This window comes from Homo sapiens, chromosome 2, assembly GCF_000001405.40.
Source record: "Homo sapiens chromosome 2, GRCh38.p14 Primary Assembly".
NCBI lineage: Eukaryota > Metazoa > Chordata > Mammalia > Primates > Hominidae > Homo > Homo sapiens.
In genome coordinates, this window is record NC_000002.12 from 107,828,190 (window position 1) to 107,855,699 (window position 27,510).

At 42.3% G+C, this 27,510-nt stretch overlaps 1 protein-coding gene and 1 long non-coding RNA gene across 9 annotated transcripts in view; one reads left to right on the top strand and one right to left on the bottom strand.

Moving 5' to 3' along the window:
• Positions 1-27,510, top strand: part of RGPD4 (RANBP2 like and GRIP domain containing 4) — a 65,653-nt gene that overhangs the window by 1,298 nt on the left and 36,845 nt on the right. For all 8 annotated transcript variants that reach the window (XR_922911.4, XR_007073111.1, NM_182588.3 and 5 more), the window contains exons 2-8: positions 8,413-8,480; positions 10,068-10,179; positions 10,623-10,775; positions 14,820-15,050; positions 15,396-15,541; positions 20,152-20,347; positions 26,367-26,454. Coding sequence is in view for 6 of the 8 variants with exons in the window: in NM_182588.3 (NP_872394.2) it covers positions 8,413-8,480; positions 10,068-10,179; positions 10,623-10,775; positions 14,820-15,050; positions 15,396-15,541; positions 20,152-20,347; positions 26,367-26,454 (994 nt within the window). In the remaining 2 variants the exon portion in view is untranslated. The remainder of the gene's footprint in view (positions 1-8,412; positions 8,481-10,067; positions 10,180-10,622; positions 10,776-14,819; positions 15,051-15,395; positions 15,542-20,151; positions 20,348-26,366; positions 26,455-27,510) is intronic.
• Positions 20,049-27,510, bottom strand: part of LOC124906057 (uncharacterized) — a 47,064-nt gene continuing 39,602 nt past the window's right edge. Inside the window, exon 2 of the long non-coding RNA XR_007087170.1 lies at positions 20,049-20,444. This is a non-coding gene — a long non-coding RNA (uncharacterized LOC124906057). The remainder of the gene's footprint in view (positions 20,445-27,510) is intronic.

The following is a 27,510-nucleotide window of genomic DNA, read 5'->3' on the forward strand; positions in this document are numbered from 1 at the left end:
GTTGAGGCAGCGGCCTCGACCTGGCCGGGCGGCGGCGGCCTCGACCTGGCCCGGCGGCGGCCTCGATGGCTCAGGCATCATGGCTCCCGACGGGCGCTGCTCCCTGGCGCGCTCTGTTGAGGCGGCGGCCTCGACCCGGCCCGGCGGCGGCCTCGATGGCTCAGGCGTCATGGCTCCCGACCGGCGCTGCTCCCTGGCGTGCTCTGTTGAGGCGGCGGCCTCGACCCGGCCCCGCGGCGGCCTCGATGGCTCAGGCGTCATGGCTCCCGACGGGCGCTGCTCCCTGGCGCGCTCTGTTGAGGCGGCGGCCTCGACCCGGCCCGGCGGCGGCCTCGATGGCTCAGGCGTCATGGCTCCCGACGGGCGCTGCTCCCTGGCGCGCTCTGTTGAGGCAGCGGCCTCGACCTGGCCGGGCGGCGGCGGCCTCGACCTGGCCCGGCGGCGGCCTCGATGGCTCAGGCATCATGGCTCCCGACGGGCGCTGCTCCCTGGCGCGCTCTGTTGAGGCAGCGGCCTCGACCTGGCCGGGCGGCGGCGGCCTCGACCTGGCCCGGCGGCTGCCTCGATGGCTCAGGCATCATGGCTCCTGACGGGCGCTGCTCCCTGGCGCGCTCTGTTGAGGCGGCGGCCTCGACCCGGCCCGGCGGCGGCCTCGATGGCTCAGGCGTCATGGCTCCCGACCGGCGCTGCTCCCTGGCGTGCTCTGTTGAGGCGGCGGCCTCGACCCGGCCCCGCGGCGGCCTCGATGGCTCAGGCGTCATGGCTCCCGACGGGCGCTGCTCCCTGGCGCGCTCTGTTGAGGCGGCGGCCTCTACCCGGCCCGGCGGCGGCCTCGATGGCTCAGGCGTCATGGCTCCCGACGGGCGCTGCTCCCTGGCGCGCTCTGTTGAGGCGGCGGCCTCGACCCGGCCCGGCGGCGGCCTCGATGGCTCAGGCGTCATGGCTCCCGACGGGCGCTGCTCCCTGGCGCGCTCTGTTGAGGCGGCGGCCTCGACCCGGCCCGGCGGCGGCCTCCATGGCTCAGGCGTCATGGCTCCCGACGGGCGCTGCTCCCTGGCGCGCTCTGTTGAGGCGGCGGCCTTGACCCGGCCCGGCGGCGGCCTGGATGGCTCAGGCGTCATGGCTCCCGATGGGCGCTGCTCCCTGGCGCGCTCTGTTGAGGCGGCGGCCTCTACCTGGCCCGGCGGCGGCCTCGATGGCTCAGGCGTCATGGCTACCGACGGGCGCTGCTCCCTGGCGCGCTCTGTTGAGGCGGCGGCCTCTACCTGGCCCGGCGGCGGCCTCGATGGCTCAGGCGTCATGGCTACCGACGGGCGCTGCTCCCTGGCGCGCTCTGTTGAGGCGGCGGCCTCGACCTGGCCCGGCGGCGGCCTCGATGGCTCAGGCGTCATGGCTCCCGACGGGCGCTGCTCCCAGGCGGGCTCTGTTGAGGCGCCGGCCGGCTGGCGCAGTCCTGTGGGCGGCGTGGCACTTGCGAGCGCAGGAAGAGTCCTGGGGGGACCGCGGCGGGCGGGAGACCTTTGGCGCCGGCGCTTCCTCTTTCTCCCGGCTTGTTCCCGACGCTTGTTCCCGACGGTGCTCGCTCCTGGGCCCGTCCTGGCCCGGGCTTTCTGGCCCCGTAGTACCCGCGCAGCCTGGTTCTCGGGGGCTTAGGCACCCGGGTGCTGTATCGGCGGGTTTCTTCCCATCTCCTGGACATTTACTTTATATGCTGCGGCGGAGGTCGTACCTCCTTGGCCTGGAGGAACCCAGTGGGGACTGACGCAGCTCCGGGTGAGCTTTGGCGGCTGCGTCGAGTGACAAGGTAGGCATCTCAGCGCGGACATTTGCAATGGCCGGACGGCGCAAATGACACGGAAAGTCCCCTTGTTTTGAGTATGAGGTGTTTGTCGCTGTCCCTTTGTAAGGGTCCAGCTCCACTCCACTCCTCATACTCACCTCCCTCGCCCCCATCCCCGCCCAGAAGACTTTGGTAGCTGCCTTTGCTTAAAAAAAAAAATTCTAAAGTTCTTACAAATCGTTAGTATGGCTTGCAATTTTTAACCTTTTCCACAGATGTTTTAAGGGTATTTTTCCTCTTTACATGTAAATAATGCTGAGATTACAGGTGTGAGCCACTCTGCTCAGCCTGATTTTTTTTTTTTAAACAAGCTTAAAAAAAAAAAAAAAAGCATGTTTAGAGCCTTTCTGAGATTCTTAGTGGGGACCTTGGCTTCCAAAAGATTAAAAACCACTGGTCTAGACAGAAGTTAGAATGTTCTTTCAACTGCATAACTTCTCCATTAAATAAAGTGGAGTGGTGGCAACATTTTGACGATTGGTTATTATGGCACCTCTCTTACACTTAGAGTCTTTTTTTTCCCCCAAATTGAAAGTCATTTACATTAGAACCTGGGGATTTCAGCGGAATATGGATTAACTAGTGAGTAACTGGAACATGTGAAGCTATTCTGTGAAGTTAGGTTTGAGTGAAATGACAAAACAGGGTGCTTTGGATAGAAGGTAAAGAATGGAGGGAGAAGAGGCAGTGGCTGTGAAGAATATGAAGAGGTTAGTATTCTCCCCCAGTTTGGCAGAGGCTGGCCATCTGTGAACTGCCCATGCTTTCTAGAATGTCGGAGTTTTGGAGTGTGATGATGCGTCTGTATATCATATCTTTCTAGTCTTCCATTGTGCTTTCATTTGTTAGTCTTCTCTTGTTTTGCCATTTTTCTACTCCCTCACATGTGCTTTTGCCCTTCTTAAAAATATTCTTCGTCTGTAATCTGAGCACTTTGGGAGGCCGAGAGACCAGCCTGACCAATATGGTGAAAATCCATCTCTATTAAAAATACAAAAATGAGCCGGGCGTGGTGGCAGCGCCTGTAGTCCCACCTACTCGGTAGGCTGAGACAGGAGAATTGCTTGAACCCTGGAGGCAGAGGTTGTGGTGAGCAGAGATTGTGCCACTGCACTCCAGCCTGTGTGACAGAGCGAGACTCTGTCTCCAAAAAAGAAAAAAAGAAAAAAAATATATAATTCTTTCTCTAGTTTTTCTTTTTCCAGATGGCTTCTGTTTAGTTTTTCTATGTTCTGTCAAGTCGGTTTCTTATTCTGCAGCTGATTCCTACTTCTCAAAGTCTACTTGACAGCTCTTATTTTTATTTATATTTTTTTTAGAATAGGGTCTTGCTATGTTGCTCATCAAATTTTTGGGCATAAATGATCCTCCTACCTCTGTTTCCTGAGTACTTAGGACTACAGGCAGGCACCTTTGACAGCTGTTAGTTGTTTTTTCTGCCCTTTACATCTATACTTCATACTTCTGAGTAACACACATATATACTTTTGTTATTTTTAATTCCCTTTCTCCCATTTTAGACATTTTCTTTTCTTTTCTTTTCTTTTTTTTTTTTTTTTTTTTTGAGACGGAGTCTCGCTCTATCGTCCAGGCTGGAGTGTAGTGGCGCGATCTCGGCTCACTGCAAACTCTGCCTCCCGGGTTCACACCATTCTCCTGCCCCAGCCTGTAGCTGGGACTACAGGCACCCGCCACAACACCCGGCTAATTTTTTAGTGTTTTTAGTAGAGACGGGGTTTCACCGTGTTAGCCAGGATAGTCTCGATCTCCTGACCTCATGATCCGCCCGCCTCAGCCTCCCAAAGTGCCGGGATTACAGGCGTGAGCCACCGGGCCGGGCCCCATTTTAGACATTCTGTACTGGCTATTATGCTCCTCCAAAACTGTCCTCAGACACTTTGGTTTGCCCCTCATTCTTTCAGTACTGTTATTGCAGTTTTTGTTTAAATGAATATTTAACATTTATATAAATATAAGGTAAATATTTTGCATTTGAATTGCCCTTGTTGTGCAGTTTTGTTTTTCCTGGACTGAATAATTGCTTTATTTTTTGGTTTGCTTGTATGTTGTGTTACTACTTGCTTACTTAAACTCAGCAACTTAAACCCTCAAATGTGGTCAAACTGATCACATAATCCGTTCAATTTCAGCTTAAAACATTGATTGATTGATTGATTGTCTACCTGGAATACCCTTACTAACCGACTTCTCCAACCTGGATTGGGTTTTCTTCCTCTTTGCTACACAGCTGTGCTCTTGGGACTTCCCTTTATCACCAGTTTGAGAATTCCCTTCATCTTTTTTCTGAGTTAGACCCTTTGTTTCTTGTATCTCATGTCGTCTTCATTTACTTTCTTTGTTTTGGTGTAGCATAGTCTCACTTGCTTTGAGGAAAAGTGGATGAGAGGTTTTTTTGTTTGTTTTTGTTTTGGGACAGAGTCTTGCTCTGTTGCCCAGGCTGGAGTGCAGTGGCATGGTCTCAGCTCACCACAACCTCCGCCTCCCGGGTTCAAGTGATTCTCCTGCCTCAGCCTCCTGAGTAGTGGGATTACAGGTGTGCGCCAGCATGCCTGGCTAATTTTTTCTATTTTTAGTAGAGATGGGATTTCACCATACTGGTCAGGCTGGTCTGGAAACTAATGGTATGTCTTTAAAACGTCTTTACTTAATTTAGTTGATCATTTGGTTATCGAATTCTGAGTTTGAAATAATTTTTTTCGCAATTTTGAAAGCATTGCTCCATTTTCTAGAAGTTCTGTTGTTAGGAGTCTGATGAGATTCTTGTTCTTGGTAACAAAGGTTTTCTGGAAGTGTCCTTTCAATTGGGAAACTCATTTCTTTCAGTTCTGTAGCATTTCTTGTATTATTTCTTTGACCATTTCTTACCCTTTTTTTTAATGATGTTTACCTGAAAGCTGGAGTTTCTCTAATTTTTCTCTTATTCTCCTCTTTTGTTTGTTCTGCCTTTTGAGAGATTTCCTTACCCTTATGTTCCAGGGGAAGAAGATTGGGGAACTCATGGTTCAGTATCTAGACTTTTCCTCATTGTCCTGTATAATCGCGGCCTTCACCCTTGTTGGGACTCCACAGATTTGTAGCTGATCAGATGGGTTTGTTGAGAACAGCAGCTTTTTTGGAGGATTTTAGGGGGAGGGAGATTCATTTGACTGTGCAAGATGGGTGACAGAGCGAGACTCCGTTTGAATTAAAAAAAAAAAGAGAGAAATTTAGAACTGCATAATGAAAAAGTAGGCCACAAATGTTAAGTTTTGGACAATTACAATTACATCTCTATCTTACTGTGCAAGATAGTGATGATGTGGCATCTCTTGGGGTCTTACTGTTCCTGTTTTCAGCCCTGCATCAGTTCTTGATATTTGGCAGCTTAAGTGAATTCAGGTATTTGCTTATAGTGACATCTGCTGTCATGCAAAGAAGTACTGCTTGAATCAGATATTGTCCTGTTTACATAACATGGGCTGTGCTCCTTCCTAGCTATATATCTTTAAACAAGGCATTTGCCTGCTTGAGCTTCAGTTCCCTTGTAAAGTGAGCAGGTTAGAGGCAAAAGATCATACAGAAGAATAATTTGTAAAGTTGTTTAATTATCTTAAGATTGTCTACTTTAATAACATAGTTGGAAGCAAAGAAGGTAATGGAATTATTTTTCTATTATGTTTTGGCATTGTACCTTGAATCTATTTCTTCATTTTGAAAAGGGGGAACTGGCCGGGCTCCGTGGCTGACGCCTGTAATCCCAGCATTTTGGGAGGTGGAGGAAGTCAGATTACAAGGTCGAGAGAGCGACACCATCTGGCCAACATGGTGAAACCCCATCTCTACTGAAAATACAAAAATTAGCTGGGCATGGTGGCGTGCGCCTGCAGTCCCAGCTTGTACCCGGGACGCAGAGGTTGCAGTGAGCTGAGATCGAGCCACCGCACTCCAGCCTGGTGACAGAGCAAGACTCCATCTCAAAAACAAAAAAAGGAAGGGGGGAACAAGCCTTGTTCCTATACGTGCTGTCCTGACTGTTGTGTATTATTTTTGTTAAGATTGCTATAGTTCTTTTTTTTTTTGAGATGGAGTCTTGCTCTGTTGCCAGAGCTGGGATTGCAGGTGTTAGCCTGGCATTGAGCAACGTTTTGTAATTTAAGCATACAAGTCTCTCACCTCCTTGTTTACATTTATTCCCAGGCATTTTTTTCATTTAGATGCGATTGTAAATGGAATTGCTTTCTTAATTTCCTTTTCTGATTGTTCGTTGCTGGTACAGTAGTCCCTTCTTATCCACAGTATTGCCTTACGTGGTTTTACTTACCTGCGTCACCCGTGGTCCAAAAATATTGAATGGAAGATTATATAAATAAACATTTCATGAGTTTTAAATTGCAAACAGTTCTGAATAACATGATAAAAATCTCACAGCCTCCTGCTCCGTCCTACCCAGGACACGAATCATCCCTTTGTCCAACATATTCATGCTGTATGTGCTCCCCACCCGCTAGTTACATACTAGCCACCTCAGTTATCAGATCAGTTGTTGGAGTATTGCAGTGCTTGTGTTCAAGTAACCCTTATTTTATTTAAAATGGCACCAAAGAGCAAGAGTAGCGATGCTGGCAGTTCACATATGCCAGAGAGAAGCCATATAGTGCTTCCTTTAAGTGAAGAGGTGAGTTTTTGACTTAGGAAAGAAAAAAGATCATATACTGGGGTTGCTAAGATCTATGGTAAGAACAAATCTTTTGTCCATGAAATTGTGAAGAAAGAAAAAGAAATTTGTGCTAGTTTTGTTGTGACACCCCAAACTGCAAAAGTTACAGCCACAGTGTGTGATAAGTGCTTAGTTGAGATGGACAAGACATTAAATTTGTGGGTGGAGGACACAAACAGGAAACATGTTTCGATTGATGGCAACCTGGTTTGGTACTATTCATCGTTTTGGACATTCACTGGGGTCTTGGAATTTCAAAAATAAGATGTTTGAGTAGCTGTATACTCTGTATCACATGGATGGAACATACTCTGGTTGTATCAGCTTTTTTTTTTTTTTTTTTTTTTTTTTGAGATGGAATCATTCTGTTGCCCAGGCTGGAGTGCAGTGGTGCGGTCTTGGCCCACTGCTGCCTCCCGGGTTCAAGCGATTCTTTGCCTCAGCCTCCCAAGCAGCAGGGATTACAGGCGTGTGCCACCATGCCCAGCTAATTTTTGTATTTTTAGTAGAAAGGAGGTTTCTGTATGTTGGCCAGGCTGGTCTCGAACTCTTGGCTTCAAGTGATCCACCTGCCTCAGTCTCCAAAAGTGCTGGGATTACAGGTGTGAGCCACCGCACCCAGCCTGGTGTGCATCAGCATTTTGGACTTTGGAGTTTATGTAACCAAGGAGCCAGGCTGTGGACCTTGTTTATTACTTGAAGAATTCAATATTTATTTCTGCCTTTTTGACTCCTTGACTGTAAAATACTGATCTGATCTGTAGAGAGAACAGTACATGTACTATTGAGGCACAGGGAATCCTCAGTGCCTTAATAGATCCTAAGTACTTAGTTATTCTTTCCCATAGAGGCTTACACATGGTAGGAGAAGAGATTTCTGGAATACCTTTCCTCCCCAAAGAAAGCTGGTTTCTTTTGTTTGTTAAGTGAGAGAGTGGTACCACAGGGTTTCCAAGATTTCCAAGGCTGATGAAAATTCTTAACTTCTGTTGTCTGCTTGTCTTGCTTTCTTGAATTTATTTTTTGTATGTTATGTATTTATTATTTAGAGAGAGGATCTCCCTGTGTCACCCAGGCTGGAGTGCAGTGTCACAGTCATAACTCACGGCAGTGTCAACCTCCTGGGCTCAAGTGATTCTCCTTCCTTGGCCTCCTGAGTAGCTAGGAACACAGGCATGCTCCACTATGCCTGGCTATTTTTTTCCCCCTGGAGACAGGATCTTGTTGTGTTGCACAGGCTGGTTTCAAACTCTTGGCCTCAAAGCTAGCCTCCCACCTTGGTCTCTGAAAGTGCTAGAATTAAATAGAATTAAAGTTGTGACCAACTGCACCCAGCTTATTTATGATGATGATGATGATGATGTTTGGGAGATGGAGTCTCTGTCGCCCAGGCTGGAGTGCAATGGCACAATCTCAGCTGACTGCAACCTCTGGCTCACTGCAACCTCCACCTCCTGGGTTCAACTGATTCTCGTGCCTTAGCCTCCCGAGTAGCTGGGATTACAGGCACCCGCCATCATGCCTGGCTAATTTTTCTATTTTTGTAGAGACGGAGTTTCACCATGTTATAACGCCAGGCTGGTCTCAAACTCCTGACCTCAGGTGATCCACCCACTTCGGCCTCCCAAAGTGCTGGGATTACAGGCATGAGCCGCTGCACCCAGCTCTATTTTTTGTTTTGTGATAGGAAATTATAAAACATGGAATTATGCATTTGTCAGGCTTTAAAAAAAATTTTTAAGTGAATGAAAATGGCATATTTGAACATAAACTTAGGGCAGATTTTTACTACTTTTGAAAAAATGTTGGAAAATATTTCTGTATGAAATGTAAAACAACTTTTAATTTTTTTTAGAAGTCAACGAGAGGATTCTATTTTGCAAAGCTGTATTATGAAGCTAAAGAATATGATCTTGCTAAAAAGTAAGTACAAACTGTAACATGTATTCTTTTTTTAAAATCAATGCCTTTTCTCATTTTCTTCTTTGAAATAGGTAAAAATATATCCTTAGTAGTTCTTCCTAAGTGTATTCTGGAATAAGGGATTTATCACTCAGACTGATGCTAAGGACCAGCCTAGATTCCATTGAGATTGAAACTGTAATTAGTGTTTTCTGCATGCTGCTGCTTTATACCAAGGGCAAGAAATTGTTTGGCTTAAAACGACTTTTTCTAAAAATTGTCTTCTGTTGAAGTAAAAGAGGACCATGCCTATATCTTAATTTGTTTTTGGTTAGATATCTGATACCTTAATCAGATGGAAAATAGCAATGAATAAAAAATTAAACTGTAATTGTAAGGCAGGAGAATAGCTTGTATAAAAGATCTTTAATTGACACAATATGTGATGCTCTAAGGCTCTATCCTAGGGATAAGAAGCTTGGTGATTCTGATTTCCTGACTGGGAGTGGATTAAAGCAGGAAATTAAGAGGGAGGCAGGCTTTTTTTTTTTTTTTTTTTAGGCAGTATCTGTCTCTCTTGCTCAGGCAGGAGTGCAGCAGCTGGCTCCATCTTTGCTCACTGTAACCTCTGCCTTCTGGGCTCAAGAGATCTTTACACCTCAGCGCCCCAAGTAGCTGGGGATACAGATGCGCACCACCACGTGGACCTGGCTAAGGTTTGCATTTTTTGGTAGAGACAGGTGTCACTATGTTGCCCAGGCTAGTCTTGAACTTCTGAGCGCAGCAGTCTGCCTGCCTCGGCCTCCCATAGTGTTGAGACTACAGGTGTGTGTTACTGCTCCCAGCTGGGAGGCAGGCTTTTAAAGGCATCCAAAGGAAGATGGAAATGCTGGTAAGAAAGGAAAATGGTGGTACATAAATTATGTAACTAGCAGCACTGTGACTGTTAACTCTTGTACCTTTTTACCGTGAGACTTTAATCCCTTAGTTTAGGTCTGGCCTCATTTCTCTGATGGTAATACTGTCAAGGAACCTAGAGGATATTTACTTATTTTAGTTGTTACTTGATTTGAGAAATGGAAATTTCCTGTATTTGGTACTGTAATTAGTAATTTTTCTTCTGTTCGATTTTAGCTGGATATATAGTACTGTTAGAAATTACTTTCTTGCTTAAAGGGTAAGTGTATTTCCCTTTGTTGTTTGGGAAATTGTTGCTGTTTAGTATTTTGCATTATGATAACTTTAAAAATGTTTACTATAATCACTTCTAATTTATTTGCAAAACTGTTAGTGCTTTATTAAAATGTGATCAGGAAGAAAAAGCAATTTATATGTTCATTTCTTATGTGTGGATAACACTGGAGAAAAATTTGGTAAATGTGACATTTAATGGTAAAATGAGTATGTGGTCAACTCTATGTATGTGTTTTTAAGTATTACCCATTTCTTTCTATGAATACTTTTGAGTTATCTGTATGAATAGTGGTAGTTTTGAGTAACAATATAAACGAGTTTAGTGGTTGCTTTGGTTTAAGATGTATTCTTCGGTTAGCATTTAAAAGTACAGTTCTAAGTTTAATTTACTTTTGTATTACTTTTAAAAAACAGATACATATGTACTTACATTAATGTGCGAGAGATGGATCCCAGAGCTCACAGATTTCTGGGTCTTCTTTATGAATTGGAAGAAAACACAGAGAAAGCCGTTGAATGTTACAGGGTAAGTTATAGGATTCAAATATAGCCTTTGCATAGCCAAACACATGATGCCCAGAGAAATTTATATAAGTAAGTCAAATATATTTTATGAATATCATAAAACAGGCATTGGTATCATAGTACAGTTACGTGACACAGCTTGGAACAGATTTAGAATTGTTTAACACCTATAAATTGTAAGTCTAACACGGTCAGAAATGGTGTTCTTTTGTGTTTTTTGCATTCAAATGACACAAATATAATTTTTATTTGGTTCATTTCCAGAAAATTCCAAGACACTTTTATTTTAACACCTTTGAAGTAATATGTTTTCTCTAGAAGTAGAATTTTTTAAGAGTTGGAGTGATAATTTTTAACCTTTATATATAAGTATATAAGTATATATACTCCTACATACATACATACAATTTATTTACTAATCTTTAATTTCTTTTCTGATATTAGCGTTCAGTGGAATTAAACCCAACACAAAAAGATCTGGTGTTGAAGATTGCAGAATTGCTTTGTAAAAATGATGTTACTGATGGAAGAGCAAAATACTGGGTGGAAAGAGCAGCAAAACTTTTCCCAGGAAGTCCTGCAATTTATAAACTAAAGGTAAACAAACAAAACATAAAGGGAGAAAACTTAAGACATAACCATTTCTAATATTTGGAGTTTAAATTACTTTTCAATAGCAAACCTTAAGCCCAGGTGTTTGTGTTTCCTTTAACATTTTTCTTTTAAAAAGTGTATTAAAACCTTTCTCAGCATCTACTGTCTTATTAGGCATTGTTATACTTTATAAGTGACATCTCATTTACCCTTCTGGAATAATTAATATTTTAGGGATTTTACAGTTTAGTAGCTGTAAACTAAGTAGAGCTAAGATTTACATTAAGTTCTGTCTAGTATACAATTTTTGCTTCATTAAGTGAAAATTACCTACAGGATGACAATTTAGGGATATTTTAAAGAAGTGTTTTCTAATAACTATTGTCTGAAAGTGGAAGGGATTGTATTTTGAGATAGTAAGGTTTTCAAGCAAAAGATAAAAGGTGGTTTCTCTAGTATATAAGACGTAATTACTAAAAATGGTAGGAAGTTCTTGCTAGTGTGTTGACTGGTCCTGATATTCTTTATAGAGTAAAATATAGTTTACTAAGTAACTGTTCTGGAGAAAATCTACACAAATATGTTTGGCAAACATTTAAAATGTATATTGTAATGTTTTATCTATTAATGTATACTTTATTGTGTATGTACAATATAAAATTATAAATGTATATTTGCCTTTAGCCTCCTCCTACCCCCATTATATATGTTTCTGATAGAAATTTAAAAAATTTTAATTTTGAAATAATTATAGATTTTTTTGCACAGGAAGTTGCAAAGATTGCACAGAAAGATCCTATATGCTACTTCATTTTCCCCCAATGCTTATACAGGTTGAGCATTTAAAATCCGAAATCCTAAACGCTCCAAAATCTGAAATTTTTTGAGCACTGACATGATGCTCAAAGAAATGCTCATTGGAAAATTTTGGATTTCAGATTTTCAGATTTGGGATGCTCTGCCTGCTAAGTATCCTGCAGATATTCCAAAGTCTGAAAAAATTCAAAATCTGAAATACTTCTGGTCTCAAGCATTTTGGATAAGGGATACTCAACCTGTTTAACCCGCCCAAAGCACAATATCAAAATCAGGAATTTTGACATTGGTACAATGTGTATGTATAGTTTTCTTTCATTTTATCACGTGTAGATTCATACCACCACTGCCGTCAAGATACAGAACTACTCTATTACCACAGAGATCTTCCTCATGCTGCCCCTTTTGTAGTCCTGCTATTTACTTCTCTTCACTATGCCTGACCTCTGGCAACATTAATCTGTTCTCCATCTTTATACTTTGGTGATTTCAAAATGTTATGTAAATGTCATCATGAAATGTGTGACTTTTTTTTTCTTTTTTCATTGTTTTTGAGACGGAGTCTCGCTCTGTTGCCCAGGTTGGAGTTCACTGGCGCAATCTCGGCTCACTGCCACCTCCGCCTCCCAGGTTCAAGCAATTCTCCTGCCTCAGCCTTCCGGGTAGCTGGGACTACAGGCACATGTTACCGTGTCCCGCTTATTTTTGTATTTTTAGCAGAAACGGGGTTTCACCATGTTGGCCTGGCTGGTCTCGAACTCCTGACCTCATGTGATCTGCCCACCCCAGCCTCCCAAAGTGCTAGGATTACAGGCGTGAGCCACCGCGCCCAGCCAAGCATGTGACCTTTTGAGGTTGGCTTGTTCAGTCAGCATAATACCATTTGTGATCCATATTAAGTTTTGTATATCCATAGTTGGTTCCTTTACTTCTGAGTAGTATTTCATGGTCCACAATTTAACCTTTCACTTTTTTTATTTCTATTTTTTTGAGACAGAGTCTTGCTCTGTCGCCCATGCTGGAGTGCAGTGGTGCTATCTTGGCTCACTGCCACTTCTGCCTCCCGGATTCTCAGGTGATCCACCCACTTTGGCCTCCCAAAGTGCTGGGATTACAGGTGTGAGCCACTGTGCCCAGCCTTAACCATTCACTTTTGAGGGGCATTTTGGTTATTTCTAGGTTTTGGCTATTGTTCAACTGCTATGAACAATCATGTCCAGATTTTTGAAGCTGAAAAAGCATTGAAGATGCTTCCAAAGATAAATATTACTGCTAAGTTTTTCTCCCCAGTAATAAGCAGCTGGATTTTAAATATTAGTCTAAAACATGAGGTCTAATTGTGCAGATTTCTTTACTCTCTTAGGTGTTATGCCTCAAACATAACTCCCATATTGGGCGTGGCAATCCAGTTAATCTGGTGTCAGTAGTGTTAAAGAACATATGTAATGGTAGGAGATTCTTTTCTTGCAGTGTAACAAGTTAGATACTTTGAAGCATTCTTTAAAGATTTTCTTTAATAACTTGAAGGCACTGTTACACCTTTCCTGTATCAGATTTTTTTTTTTGGAATTGAAATCCATGAGATTTATAACTGTCATGCAAAGTAATTCCATTTCTCCTAAAATTTAAGGCTTGCTAAGGTAAACAGTTTCTGACATTTGTTTAATGAATGAGAGTATTACTGTTGAGAAGGCTTTTTCTCTCAAGTATGAGATAGAACTTTTTAAAAGCACTCATAGTGGTTTTTAAAAAAATGTTTAACATAGAGTCAAAGACTAGGGCTTTTGCAATAGGGAGAGGCCAGGGTTTCATCCATCTCATCCAGAAGAGGAGAAATTGATAAAGGAGAGAGGGGAATGAAATACAGAGTAGTAATGGGCGGCTTGGTCTTGAGAGTTGGGGAAAGACGAGTTTAAGTAGGTAAGGTAAAATGGAATTTATATGTGATAGCATCAGGTTTCTCAGTGAAGGATGAATCTAGGTTATAAGTTGAAAGTGAGGGTCAAAGGAAGGTATGGGGAAGTTGAGGAAATAGGAGGAGGTGTGAAGTGTCAGGGAGTGGAGAAAGTGAGTCTGTTAGTACTAAAATGGTATTTTGTTTTAGGCAGCACCAGTTTGATGGTTGAGATAATGCAAATGAAATCAGTTAGCTTGGGGTTATGATTTCCCAAATCTAAGCACACAGAAACCAGTTGGGAGGGTTCTGAGGAAAAGAGGGAATTAGTTGAAGGGATCTGTAAGCAAACAGTAATTATGGATATAAGGGATTATAGCATTTTTTGCCTGACAGAAGAAAGTGTGTGTATTTATATGTGTTTACAGGTGTTTAAAACTTGATGATGTTATTGTCTTGAAGGGAGCTTGTCATGTGGTATTTCTGAAAGTAAGGGTATGTAGGCCCTCAGTGAGGTGGAAGAATAAGAAGGATGGTATGGTGGTTTCGGTGGTATGACCAAAATGCAGATTTTGAAGACCTGTGTCAGTGGCAAGTGGATGGTTGAGGTTGGAGTGGAGGATAACATCACTGGAGATGAGGTGATTAAGGAACTGAGTAGTCAGCCTGGGCAACACGGCAAGACCCCATCTCTACAGAACGTTAAAAAAAAATTAGCCGGGCATGGTGGTGCATGCCTATGGTCCTAGCTTCTTGAGAGGCTGATGGAAGAGCATCGCAAATGAGAAGTGAGTGGCCACAAACCCTACTTCCTCTCCTTGTATGTAAGTTCAGAGAGAAAAAGCCATCATGGTAGTGGGGGTTATCCTGAGATGATACTGTCTTCATTTAAGGTCAGGAGGTGATGACAGTGCTTTGAGATGATGATGAAGGTAACAGAACAGTGGGAGGAGAGGGGATGCGGGATTGAGTCAGATTTAAGGAGATACAGAGCAGTTTGAGCATAAGGACCTTGTTGCTGAGGATTGACTGGGGAGGTCTAGGCTTCTGATGGTGACTCAGATGGACAGGGATGTGTGGCAATAGTCCTGGTAGTCTCTGAAGAGAGTATGAGCTACCGCAGTAATCACAGATGCTTTTCTTCACATACAGTTCTTGAGGCTTAGTTTCTGGGTTGTAAGCAACTCTCAGAAGGGACGAATAAGGTATATAGGATGGTGTTTTTGGTGGCATCATCATAAAACTAGACATAGTGGAATGGTGCTTTTTGGGAGCATGACTTGTTTAAAATTGCACAAGTGTTACTCTAATAATTTTTCTTTTTCCCCTCTAAATAGGAACAGCTTCTAGATTGTGAAGGTGAAGATGGATGGAATAAACTTTTTGACTTGATTCAGTCAGAACTTTATGTAAGACCTGATGACGTCCATGTGAACATCCGGCTAGTGGAGTTGTATCGCTCAACTAAAAGATTGAAGGATGCTGTGGCCCGCTGCCATGAGGCAGAGAGGAACATAGCTTTGCGTTCAAGTTTAGAGTGGAATTCGTGTGTTGTACAGACCCTTAAGGTAGATAAAAGCTATTGGGTCTTTACATTTCTATGTAGGCAATTAGCATACATCTTTTTGTACTAAAGCAGCAGTGCCCCGCAGGACTTAAATTTCTTTTATTTAGGTAGAACAGTTATAAAACGAAATTTTTACCAGGATCAGTTGAATTTATAATGGGAAAATTGGGGAGATAACTATGATAAATGTGTATATTTTTGGTGTTTTCATTTATAAGGTTGATGTAAAAATCAATGTAGTTTCACAAACGTGGTTGGAGTGAGAAAAGGAATTTGTAGGCATAAAATGGTTAATTTCTTAACACTTGATTAAGTTTTGTAACTTACTATTCATTCCACAAAATAGGAATATCTGGAGTCTTTACAGTGTTTGGAGTCTGATAAAAGTGACTGGCGAGCAACCAATACAGACTTACTGCTGGCCTATGCTAATCTTATGCTTCTTACGCTTTCCACTAGAGATGTGCAGGAAAGTAGAGAATTACTGGAAAGGTGCGTTGACTTTGAGGAGAATGCTTTAGTATAAATTGTAGTTTTTCTTTTTGCAGTAAGTTCATTGCTCTAAATTTCTTTACTGAATCATTATTTCTATAATGTACCTAGGAGTTATAGTTAATACAGTGAACCACTAGGAGGCAATCTTATTTTTCTTCTTTTACGGGGAAGTTCTAATTGGTTTTATATGACTTTCCTTTTTAGAGAACTCTTATAGTTCAAGCTTGATTAAAATTAGCCTTATGGTTAAATACTCAGTTTTGTCATAGTCAAGCTTAAAATGAATGTTCTAACTGCTATTTCATATTTTATTTTTTTATAATAGTATAATCTTGAGTGAAAATTAAGGTTCATCTGTCATCAGATGGCTAGGTTCACATGTACTAGTATAAGCACTTAGCATCACTGGTGTTTCAGAAAATACTGTTTTAGCTAAGAAACAAAATAACTCAACTATGTGATTTACCTTTTTTCCTAAATTTTGATTTTGAAAACCAGTGTCTCCATTTTGAAAATAAATTCCATTGAACAAAAACATCACTTGGATTTGTATAAAGATGTTAGTTTAGAGCAGGGGTTGTTGATTAGAACTTGTGGGCCAAATATGGCCCCTGCCTAATTTTGTTAATATTTATTGGAATGCAGCATGCCTCTGTTTATGTATTGTCTGTGGCTGCTTACATACTACAAGATTGGAGTTGAGTGGTTGCAGCAGAGATTGTATGCCTGTAAAGCCAGATTAGTAATCTCCTCCTTTTTGTAGAAAAAGTTTACTGATTGCTAGTTTAGGCTGTCCATTTGTTTGGAAGTTAATTTATTTCCCCATCTGGTATAAGGAAAGAAGTTCATTTCACTGAGTGCAGGGAGTAGGTAATTTTCTTGAAAAAGTACATAGTGTCCTAAATTGGTAGGGTAAGAACAGTATCTAAAAGAACTAACATAACTTTAAGATTATTTTAGAAAACATGTAGGATGTTTTATTTTGTGTTCTTTGTATACTCAAATTTTTTGGTCACAAGTTCCTTTTACATTTTTCTTAAGGACATCAAAGATGTTTGTATGTGGGTTCCTTTCTTTCTTTCTTTCTTTCTTTTTTGTTTTTTTTTTTTTTTTTTTTTTTTGAGAGGGAGTCTTGCTCTGTCACCAGGCTGGAGTGCAGTGGCACGACCTTGACTCACTGTAACCTCTGCCTCCCGGGTTCAGGCGATTCTCCTGCCTCAGCCTCCTGAGTAGCTGGGACCACAGGCGCACACCACCACGCCCAGCTAATTTTTGTATTTTTAGTAGAGACGGGGTTCAGGATGGTCTCAATCTCTCTTTTTTTTTTTGAGACTGAGTCTTGCTCTCGCCAGGTTGGCATGCAGTGGTGCAGTCTCAGCTCACTGCAACCTCTGCCTCCTGGGTTCAAGTGATTCTCTTGTCTCTGCCTCCTGAATAGGTGGAACTACAGGTGCCCGACACCACACCTGGCTAATTTTTTTTTTTTTTTTTTTTTTTTTTTTTTTTTTTTTTTTTTTTTTTTTGAGACAGAGTCTCGCTCTGTCACCCAGCCTGGAGTACAGTGGCGCAATCTCGGCTCACTGCAAGCTTCACAATTTCCTCTCAATGCTCTGAATAAGAGCTTATCCTCCTGCCTCAGGTTGTTCCCCACCAGGAAGCCCCAGGAGGGCCCTGAGGACAGCCCTTGGCCCTCAGAGGGGGAGGCTCAGGAGGGGAGATGACCATGGGAATGGAGTCACTCGGGAGAATCTGGACCATGAGGGGTTACTTGGGGGCCTGAAGGGAGGACCCTGAGGAAGATAAAAAGCTGGTGCCACCCTAGGCAGTTTCACAGTGTGGCTTAGGGCTGTGGGTGACAGATGGTTTGTCAGATCAGTTAATCAGGACTCATGGGCCCTTTGTTACCCGCCTTGTGAACCTCCCAGGTTCACACCATTCTTCTGCCTCAGCCTCCTGAGTAGCTGGGACTACAGGCGCCCACCACCACGCTCGGCTAATTTTTTTGTATTTTTAGTAGAGACGGAGTGTCACCTTGTTAGCCAGGATGGTCTCGATCTCCTGACCTCGTGATCTGCCCTCCTCGGCCTCCCAAAGTGTTGGGATTACAGGCGTGAGCCACCGCGCCCAGCCCACACCTGGCTAATTTTTGTATTTTTAGTAGAAACAGGGTTTCATCATGTTGGCCAGGATGGTCTCGATCTTTTTTTTTTTGAGACGGAGTCTCGCTCTGTTGCCCAGGCTGGAGTGCAGTGGCGCCATCTCGGCTCACTGCAAGCTGTGTCTCCAGGGTTCACGCCATTCTCCTGCCTCAGCCTCCCGAGTAGCTGGGCCTACAGGTTCCTGCCACCACACCCAGCTAATTTTTTGTATTTTTAGTAGAGATGGGGTTTCACTGTGTTAGCCAGGATGGTCTTGATATCCTGACCTTGTGATCCGCCTGCCTCAGCCTCCCAAAGTGCTGGGATTACAGGCATGAGCCACCGCGCCCGGCTGGTCTCGATCTCTTGACCTCTTGATCTGTCTACCTTGGCCTCCCAAAGTACTGGAAGGTCTCAATCTCTTGACATCGTGATCCGCCTGCCTTGGCCTTCCAAAGTGCTGGGATTGCAGGTCTGAGCCACTGCACCCGGCCGTATGTGGGTTATTTCTGTCAGTGTTTATTACATTAGAAATTAAAACAAATAAAAAATGTAATCCATTAAAAATGTAATAAGCCCTACTGTGTGTTAATAATTATAGCTTTTTTTTTTGAGACGGAGTTTTGCTCTTGTTGCCCAGGCTAGAGTGCAACAGTGTGATCTCGGATCACTGCAACCTCTGCTTCCCAGGTTCAAGCGATTCTCCTGCCTCAGCCTCCCAAGTAGCTGGAATTACAGGTGCCCACCACCACGCCTGGCTAATTTTTTGTATTTTTAGTAGAGATAGGGTTTCACCATGTTGGCTAGGCTGGTCTTGAACTCCTGACCTCAGGTGATCCACCCGCCTCAGCCTCCCAAAGTGCTGGAATTACATGTGTGAGCCACCGCACAGGGCCAATAATAGCATTTTTTATGAAAAATAATTATTTTCCAACAGCAAAAAAGTAGTCAGAAAAGTGTCATTGTTTTTGCATTTTTGTAAATCTTTTTAATGTCTCGCTTAATAGAACATAGCTAGATTCTCATTTACTTCCTCTTTCAGTCTGTAAAACTATTACATGTCATGAAGCCTCTAGAAAACTCAGCTCAGCGGGGCGCGGTGGCTCAGGCCTGTAATCCCAGCACTTTGGGAGGCCAAGGCGGGTGGATCACGAAGTCAGGAGATCGAGACCATCCCAGCTAACAATGGTGAAACCTTGTCTCTACTAAAAATACAAAAAATTAGCCGGGCATGTTGGTACGCGCCTATAGTCCCAGCTGCTCGGGAGGCTGAGGCGGAAGAATCGCTTGAACCTGGGAGTCAGAGGTTGCAGTAAGCCAAGATTGTGCCACTGCACTCCAGCCTTGTGACAGAGTGAGATTCTGTCTCCAAAAACAAAAACAAAAAAACTCAGCTCTACATACATGAGAAAATGAGTATGTAATATATAAATTTTTTTGGTATTATTGTAAAAGTAATTTTAGCTTCATGGATCCCCTGAAGGGGTTTTTGAGCACCCTCAGAGATCTTTAGACCTCACTTGCTCTGGTTGCTTTATTGTAAGCCACTTTAAAATCATGCTTCACGTTTAAGTGTTTGCTTTTTGCTTTTACTTTTCTTCCAAAGTGAGGATTTGGAGAAACATTAGGATTTAGAAGAACTAATTTAGAATATAGATTACAAATAATAGGCCAGGCATAGTGGCTCATGCCTGTAATCCCGGCACATTGGTAAGCTGAGGCGGGCGGATCGTGAGGTCAGGAGTTCGAGACCAGCCTGGCCAATATAGTAAAACCCTGTCTCTACTAAAAATATAAAAAAAGTTTATCGGGGCATGGTGGCAGGTGCCTGTAATCCCAGCTACTCAGGAGGCTGAGTCGGGAGAATCACTTGAACCTGGGAGGTGGAGGTTGCAGTGAGCTTAGATCGTGCCATTGCACTCCAGCCCAGGCGATAGTGAGAGACTCCGTCTCAAAAAAAAAAAAAAAAAAAAAGACAATTTATTTAATGCTGTAATGATCTATATAGTAAAAAGAGCAATTACTGTATTGATACTCAAATACCTGTCAATTATTTACTTATAATTTGGAAATGCTATGTCTAATTTGAGAAATTACAACTGTTAATTAAATAATGAAATTATATGATCAGGAAGAAACTACAAAATAGTCTCCCAACTTTATCCTGGTTTATTTTGAAATGTGCACCTATAATCACTAATCTTATATTTATCCTGTGATTGGAGGGCTGGAAATAACTGGGAATAAGACATCATTTGAGAGGTTAAGCATGAAGTATAGGAAGTATGCAGGATAAAAATAAGCATTAGATGATTCATAATTTATAACACGGGGAATAAGAATTATTAGAAGTTGAATGTGGAAGATGAAGCTTGAAATAAAATTTTTATTTTGTTTTGAATTAAATGAACCATGATTATTCACAGTGCAGTAAGTGTGTATCATCTGTTTGATATTTTCATATTACAGTTTTGATAGTGCTCTTCAGTCTGCGAAATCTTCTTTGGGTGGAAATGATGAACTGTCAGCTACTTTCTTAGAAATGAAAGGACATTTCTACATGCATGCTGGTTCTCTGCTCTTGAAGATGGGTCAGCATGGTAATAATGTTCAATGGCGAGCTCTTTCTGAGCTGGCTGCATTGTGCTATCTCATAGCATTTCAGGTAAGTCTTCCACTTGGAGCAATTGACATTTCACGGAGTCTTGATGTGTTTTAAATGAAGGTGTGCTCTGGTATGTAATGACAATATGTGAACAAACCTGTGGAATTAAAGTTGAAATGAAATAGTCAATTTGATACAGTGGAAAATAACTAAGCATACACAATACTGGTGAGGCTGGTGAAACAGGGATGTTGAGTGCACTCTTGTCGAAAGCCTGCATTGCCATGATTTGTTTGTAGACAAATTTGAAGAGTTTGATCTTTTTACTCTGCCATTTTTGGGAACATGATAAAGATGTAATCTCGTATGATGGGTAAACTTGATTCAAAAAGATGTGTTACTTGGACAAAATCCTAATAAGTAGATGTAGGGCAATGGCTTTATAGCCTATGATAGAAGAATATGATTGCAGTTTAACATGTTAATTGAAACACATGTATATAACATTTATGACTGTATTGTGTATATGTAACAGTATATCTATTAATCTTTGAAAACATAAAACCTTTTCTTATTTTTTATTTTTTTATTTTTTTTGAGACCAAGTCTCTCTCTGTTGCCAGGCTGGAGTGCAGTGGCGTGATCTCGGCTCACTGCAGCCTCCACCTCCTGGGTGCAAGTGATTCTCCTGCCTCAGCCTCCCGAGTAGCTGGGACTACAGGCCCGTGCTACCAAGCCCAGCTAATTTTTTGTATTTTTAATAGAGATGGGGTTTCACCATGTTGGCCAGGATGGTCGCAATCTCTTGACCTCGTGATCTACCTGCCTTGGTCTCCCAAAGTGCTGGGATTACAGGCGCGAGGCACTGCGCCTGGCGCGCCTGGCCTTTTTTTTTTTTTTTTTTTTTTGAGACGGAGTCTCGCTCTGTCGCCCAGGCTGGAGTGCAGTGGCACGATCTCGGCTCACTGCAAGCTCCACCTCCCGAGTTCACGCCATTTTCCTGCCTCAGCCTCCTGAGTAGCTGGGACTACAGGCACCCGCCACCACACCTGGCTAATTTTTTTTTTGTACTTTTAGTAGAGACGGGGTTTCACCATGTTAGCCAGGATGGTCTCAATCTCCAGACCTAGTCATCCACCTGCCTCAGCCTCCCAGAGTGCTGGGATTTACAGGCGTGAGCCACCATGCCCAGCCTTTTTTTTTTTTTTTTTTTAATGAGCCTGCATAACTTTTGAAAGGAAAAGAAATAAGCAGTCTTCCAAAAAAGCATTAAACCAGGCTTAGAAAAATGATTAATTTTAGAGAAGGATTTTTTGCTTAGGGAGGGAAAAAAAAGGATTCATTACTTTTAGAGAAGGCCCCTCCTAATATAAATCTTTTTTTCTTTTTGAGACGGAGTTTTGCTCTTGTTGCCCAGGCTGGAGTGCAATGGCGCCATCTGGCTCACTGCAACCTCCGCCTCCCGGGTTCAAGCGATTGTCCTGCTTCAGCCTCCCGAGTAGCTGGGATTACAGGCACACGCCACCACGCCCATCTAATTTTGTATTTTTAGTAGAGACAAGGTTTCTCCATGTTGGTCAGGCTGGTCTTGAGCTCCTGAACTCAGGTGATCTGCGCGTCTCGGCCTCTCAAAGTGCTGGGATTACAGGCAGTGAGCCACCATGCCCTGCCTAATATAAATCTTTTTATTTTTATTTGAGACGGAGTCTCGCTCTGTCACCAGGCTGGAGTGCAGTGGCGCAATCTCAGCTCACTGCAACCTGTGTCTCCTGGGTTCAAGTGATTCTCCTGCTTCAGTCTGTCACGTATCTGGGATTACAGGCACACACCACCATGCCTGGCTAATCTTTTGTATTTTTTAATAGAGATGGGGTTTCACCATGTTAGCCAGGATGGTCTCGATCTTCTGACCTCGTGATCCACCTGACTCGGCCTCTCGAAGTGCTGGGATTACAGGCATGAGCCATTGAGCCCGGCCTGTAAATCTTTTAAAAACACCGTTGATAGACAGTTCACATGTTAAGTGCTAATATTTGCTCAGTAGAAACTTCTGTGTTCATAAGGAATGGATTAGTGAAAATTAATGGATTTAGTGAGGTTCACTAGGTAATACAAACATTAAAAGGTTCTTATAGAAATTCTCAAGTAACTGATAGTTCTTATTTTTATTTATTTTATTTTTTTTTTTGAGACGGAGTCTCACTCTGTCGCCCAGGCTGGAGCACAGTGGCACGACCTCGGCTCACTGCAAGCTCCGCCTCCTGGGTTCACGCCATTCTCCTGCCTCAGCCTCCCGAGTAGCTGGGACTACAGGCACCCACCACCACGCCTGGCTAATTTTTTTGTATTTTCAGTAGAGATGGGGTTTCACCGTGTTAGCCAGGATGGTCTCGATCTCCTGACCTCATGATCTTGGCCTCCCAAAGTGCTGGCATTACAGGCGTGAGCCACCGCGCCCTGCCAATAGTTCTTATTTTTAATGGAAACTTTAAAATTTATCTGTCTGTGTGTCTATTAGAGTCTTGCTGTGTCACCCAGGCTGGAGTGCAGTTGCGTAATCGTAGCTCACCGTAACATTGAACTGGGCTCGAGCTTCCCAGAGTGCTGGGATTATAGGTGTGAGCTACTGCGCACAGCCTACAATTTTTTGATATGTAGTTTTGGGAGGTGCTGTGGCTGGAGTGCAGTGGCATGATCATAGCTCACTGCATCCTCGAACTCCTGGGCTCAGGTGATCCTCTCCTGCTTCAGCCTCAGCTCGGTAGCTGGGACTACAGGTGCCTGCCACCATGCCTGGCTACATTGTTAAATTTTTTGTAAAGACAAGGTCTTGCTATGTTTCCCAGGCTGGTTGGTCTTGAACTCCTGGCTTCAAGTGATCCTTCTGCCTTGCCCTCCCAAAGTGCTGAGATTACAGGTATGAGCCACCACACCTGACTGTGAACTTTTAATCATAATAAGTTAGTTTCCCTCTTAATCCATTCACTCAGGTCTCCTTTCCTAGATGACAGCTACTGTTAGGAGTTTCTTGGGTGTTCAGAAATATTTTTTGCATATGCAAATGTGCAATACATTCTTTCTCTGCTTTTAAAAAATATTGTGCCTCAATGTGGGTGTGCTTTACCTATTGCCAGATGCCTTGCTTTTCTAAATGTTTCTTCATTGTTCCACTTCAGCACAGAGATACCTACCTCAGTCTTTATTAACTACCACATATTTCTGTAGAATGAATATATAATAGAAACATCTTAGATGCTTGTATTTTATTTTATCAGTTTATTTTAAAGCTTAATGATCAAATGATTATAAGCATAAAATGTAGGTTATGTGCTGGCATTTGGGTATGTAAGAATTGGCTAACTTTTATGGCAAGATTTTCAGACTCTTAATCAGAGGAATACTGTGGTTCTAGTAAGTACATCTGCATTGCAGCTAGGTAGTTGACAAAGTATCTTGAAACCTTTTAGTTAAGATGAGGAAATAGCTAGGCGTGGTGGCTCACGCCTATAATCTTAGCACTTTGGGAGGCTGAGGCGGGCGGATCACTTGAGGTCAGGAGTTTGAGACCATCCTGACCAACATGGTCAAACCCCATCTCTACTAAAAATAGAAAAATTAGCCACGCATGGTGGCGGGTGCCTGTAGTCCCAGCTACTTGAGAGGCCGAGACAGGAGAATTGCTTGAAACCAGGAGGCGGAGGTTGCAGTGAGCCGAGATCGTGCCACTGCAGCACTGCAGCACTGCAGCCTGGCAACAGAGCGAGACTCCATCTCAAAAAAAAAAAAAAAGGAAATAGTGAATTGAGATGATTTGATTGAGTGGATTCACAACTAATTAACTGGTCACAAATTCAACTGTTGAATAATTTTGTAAAAGAGGCCGGGTTTATGAATTGAGGTCAGTTTGAAAACAAAAAGAATGATGTCAACATTTTGTTTCTTATTTTGTGTGCTCTTTTCAACATATAGATGACAAACTTTGACATGATGTTTAGAAAACTTGTGAGTAAAAGGATAGGCGATACGAATATTTCTAAAATTCAAAATCAGAAGCTTTTAGGTTCATAAATCATATATTTTGAAAAATGAGCATATTTGGAAAGAATTATATATACATGGTTTAAAATTCTGGAGGCTCTTAAGAATATGCTATGAAGACTCCTTTCTGTTCCCTAGTTATTTACTTTCTCCACCCCCAAAGAAACTAATGTTATTGCTTTCTTGTGTGTTCTTCAGGAAATGTTTTATGCATCTCCAAGTAAACACACATATATCCCCTGTCTTTAAAAGAAGGAGGAAAACGTTTGAACATTGCATTTACTTTATTTCCATTAACTGTATCTTGGAGATGTTTCCATGTCAGTATATATAAAGGGTATTCTCATTAGTTTGGATGCTTGCATATTATTCCATTGTATGGATGTACTGTAGTTTTGGAGTTTTTAAAACCAGGGTCCTAAAGCCAGGACATTAGCTTGCTTTTACTTTTTTTTTTAAATGCTACTTCAAGTAATTTAGCAATGATTAACTTGTGCCATGAATTCCTGAAAGAATTGCAGTATCAAAGTATATCTGTGCATTTATAATTTTTAGAGCTGTTGCCAAATATCTAACCCTAAAGAGGTTGTATCAAATTACATTTCCACCACCAATTAAGAAAGTGGTGATAGAATTAAAAGCCGATGCTCTAGTCACCCATATAGTTACTTTTGGCATGTTTCTAGTAAGTGGGCATTGCCTATGACTGGACGTTTTCAGTGATGGACATTCATTACTTTTCAAGATAGCCCAGTGCATCTTTAGGTGGTTTGGCTCTTGGTACTTCCTTATATAGAATAAAAATATTCTTCAAGCCTTCTACCTGTTGGTCTTGTTTCTTCTTTTGATGATTTCTTTTATAAAATAATTTTAATATTTGAAGGCAGCTGTCACGTCTTCCCTTCGCCATTCTATTCATCATGCTTTTTTTTTTCCATAGGTTATTGCATGAGGATCTCTTTAATTTCCTGGTTGTCCCATTTATTCCAGTGCTATCCCCTATTATCCATACTCTGAAAATGTGTTATCTACAATGTGGCATTTCCAAGTGTCATTTCACCTGTACTTTTTAAAGTAGGGTGTCATATCTACTCAAATAGGACAACATCTGCTGTTGTCCTATTTATGCAGGGTAGAAAAGTAATGTAATTAAATTTTCCATTTCTCTGAATGTAACATGAATGTGCTTTTAGTAGAAACTAATTTCTCAGAGCTGCTCTGTGTATGCTTTTTTTTTTTTTTCTTTTGTTGGAGATAGGGTCTCACTCTGTCGCCCAAGCTGGAGCACAGTGGCATGATCATGGCTCACTGCAGCCTTGACCTCCTGGATTTAAGTGATCCTCCTGCCTCAGCCTCCTGAGTAGCTGGGACCACAGGTGTGTGCCACCATGCCTGGCTAATTAAAAAAAACTTTTTTTAGAGATAGGGTCTCACCGTGTTGTTCAGGCTGGTCTTGAACTCTGGGCTCAAGTGATCCCCCCACCTTGGCCTCCCAAAGTGCTGGGATTACAGGTGTGAGCCAACATGTCTGGCCCCTCTCTTTTTTTTTTTTTTTTTTGCGATGGAGTCTCGCTCTTTCACCCAGGCCGGAGTGCAATGGCACAGTCTCGGCGCACTACAACCTCTGCCTCCCAGGTTCAAGCTATCCTTGTGCCTCAGCCTCCTGTGTAGCTGGAATTAACAGGTGTGTGCCACCACGCCTGGCTCTTTGTTTTTTTTTTTTATTTTTAGTAGAGACTGGGTTTCACCATGTTGGCCAGGCTGGTCTCGAACTCCTGACCTCAAGTGATCAGCCCACCTTGGCCTCCCAGACAGAGTGTTGGGATTACAGGTGTGAGCCACCACGCCTGTACCTGGCCTATCTTTCATAGGTTATATAAATTCCTTGGTTCCCAGTTTTTGCAGTCTTTTCCAATTCAGTTTAATTAATGGTTAACTGTTCATTCATTATCAAAAAAAGTACAGTGTAATAGATAAGACCATGTTACTATTAGAAGTATGGGTATCATCAAATTAAGATTTTTGATTCTAAAATTATTAGGTTCCAAGACCAAAGATTAAATTAATAAAAGGTGAAGCTGGACAAAATCTGCTGGAAATGATGGCCTGTGACCGACTGAGCCAATCAGGTAATAGTAATATTAAACTAATTTAATTTAAAAAGAAAAAGGAATTTCTGTTAAGGCATATCTTATGATAAAATCTCCATCTGTCCAGGAGATAATTTGTCAAAATTATTTCTTTTCGCCGTATCAGTTAAGAGCAATAGGTATGGAAGAGATGCGAAGAAATAGCACATTCTTTTAAAAAAATGAATATTTGATATTGTTTGTTCCTATGTGGAGAGGATTTCTTAACTCTTTCTTCATCTGGCTGCTAGAGCCTCTATCCTGAATATTTAGTCACTTCCTGAACTAAGTATAATTATTGATTTGCCAACCATTTAACACCAGCTGATTCTAAAAACACTGCTGTGGGGATATAAAGATGAAGAAGATACGCATCTGTCTTAAAGAACTGAGAGCATAGTGAGGAAGATAGAAGATATATACTTACCTTATATTAGGCTCTTGGAATTTGTGGATTTTTTCCCCCATTTTTGGCTTGGGATGAATCCTAAAGGTCTGTTGCGTATTACCTGTGATTTTGCTAAGATACAAACTTTAAGGTAGTTAGATGGCCATTGAATCAAGCAGTGAACTGAAGAAACATAATGCTTTCTATAAGGAGCAGTTCTGATATAAAATTGGATGAATTTTGTAAAGAGCAAGATGTAATATTAATCAAAGTTATTATAAGCTTTGGTGTATAGTTAGGCTGTTGGCCAAAGCTCACATTGCTCTTTTATTCCATAGCCCACTTTTTTTGTGGGAGTTAGGCTTTCAGTCCTTAAAGTGACTTTCTACTTTTTTCCTTTTCTCTTTTCCTTCTACCCTTGCAGGGCTCTCATAAGTGCCTTTGCGTGGTGTCACAGTTAGATAAAAATTGCCTGTATTTTTTTTTATGTCTTTGATCTGGGCATCCCGAGGGTGCCTCTGTAAGTGTGCTGAGACACAACTGTGTAGTGGTAACCAAACCTAATTGCCCAGCAGAATTAACTCGAAGGAGGGTTTTTTTAAAAAGTTCAATTGAAATATAATTCGTATACCATACGCTTCACCCATTTAAAGTGTACAGTTCAGTGG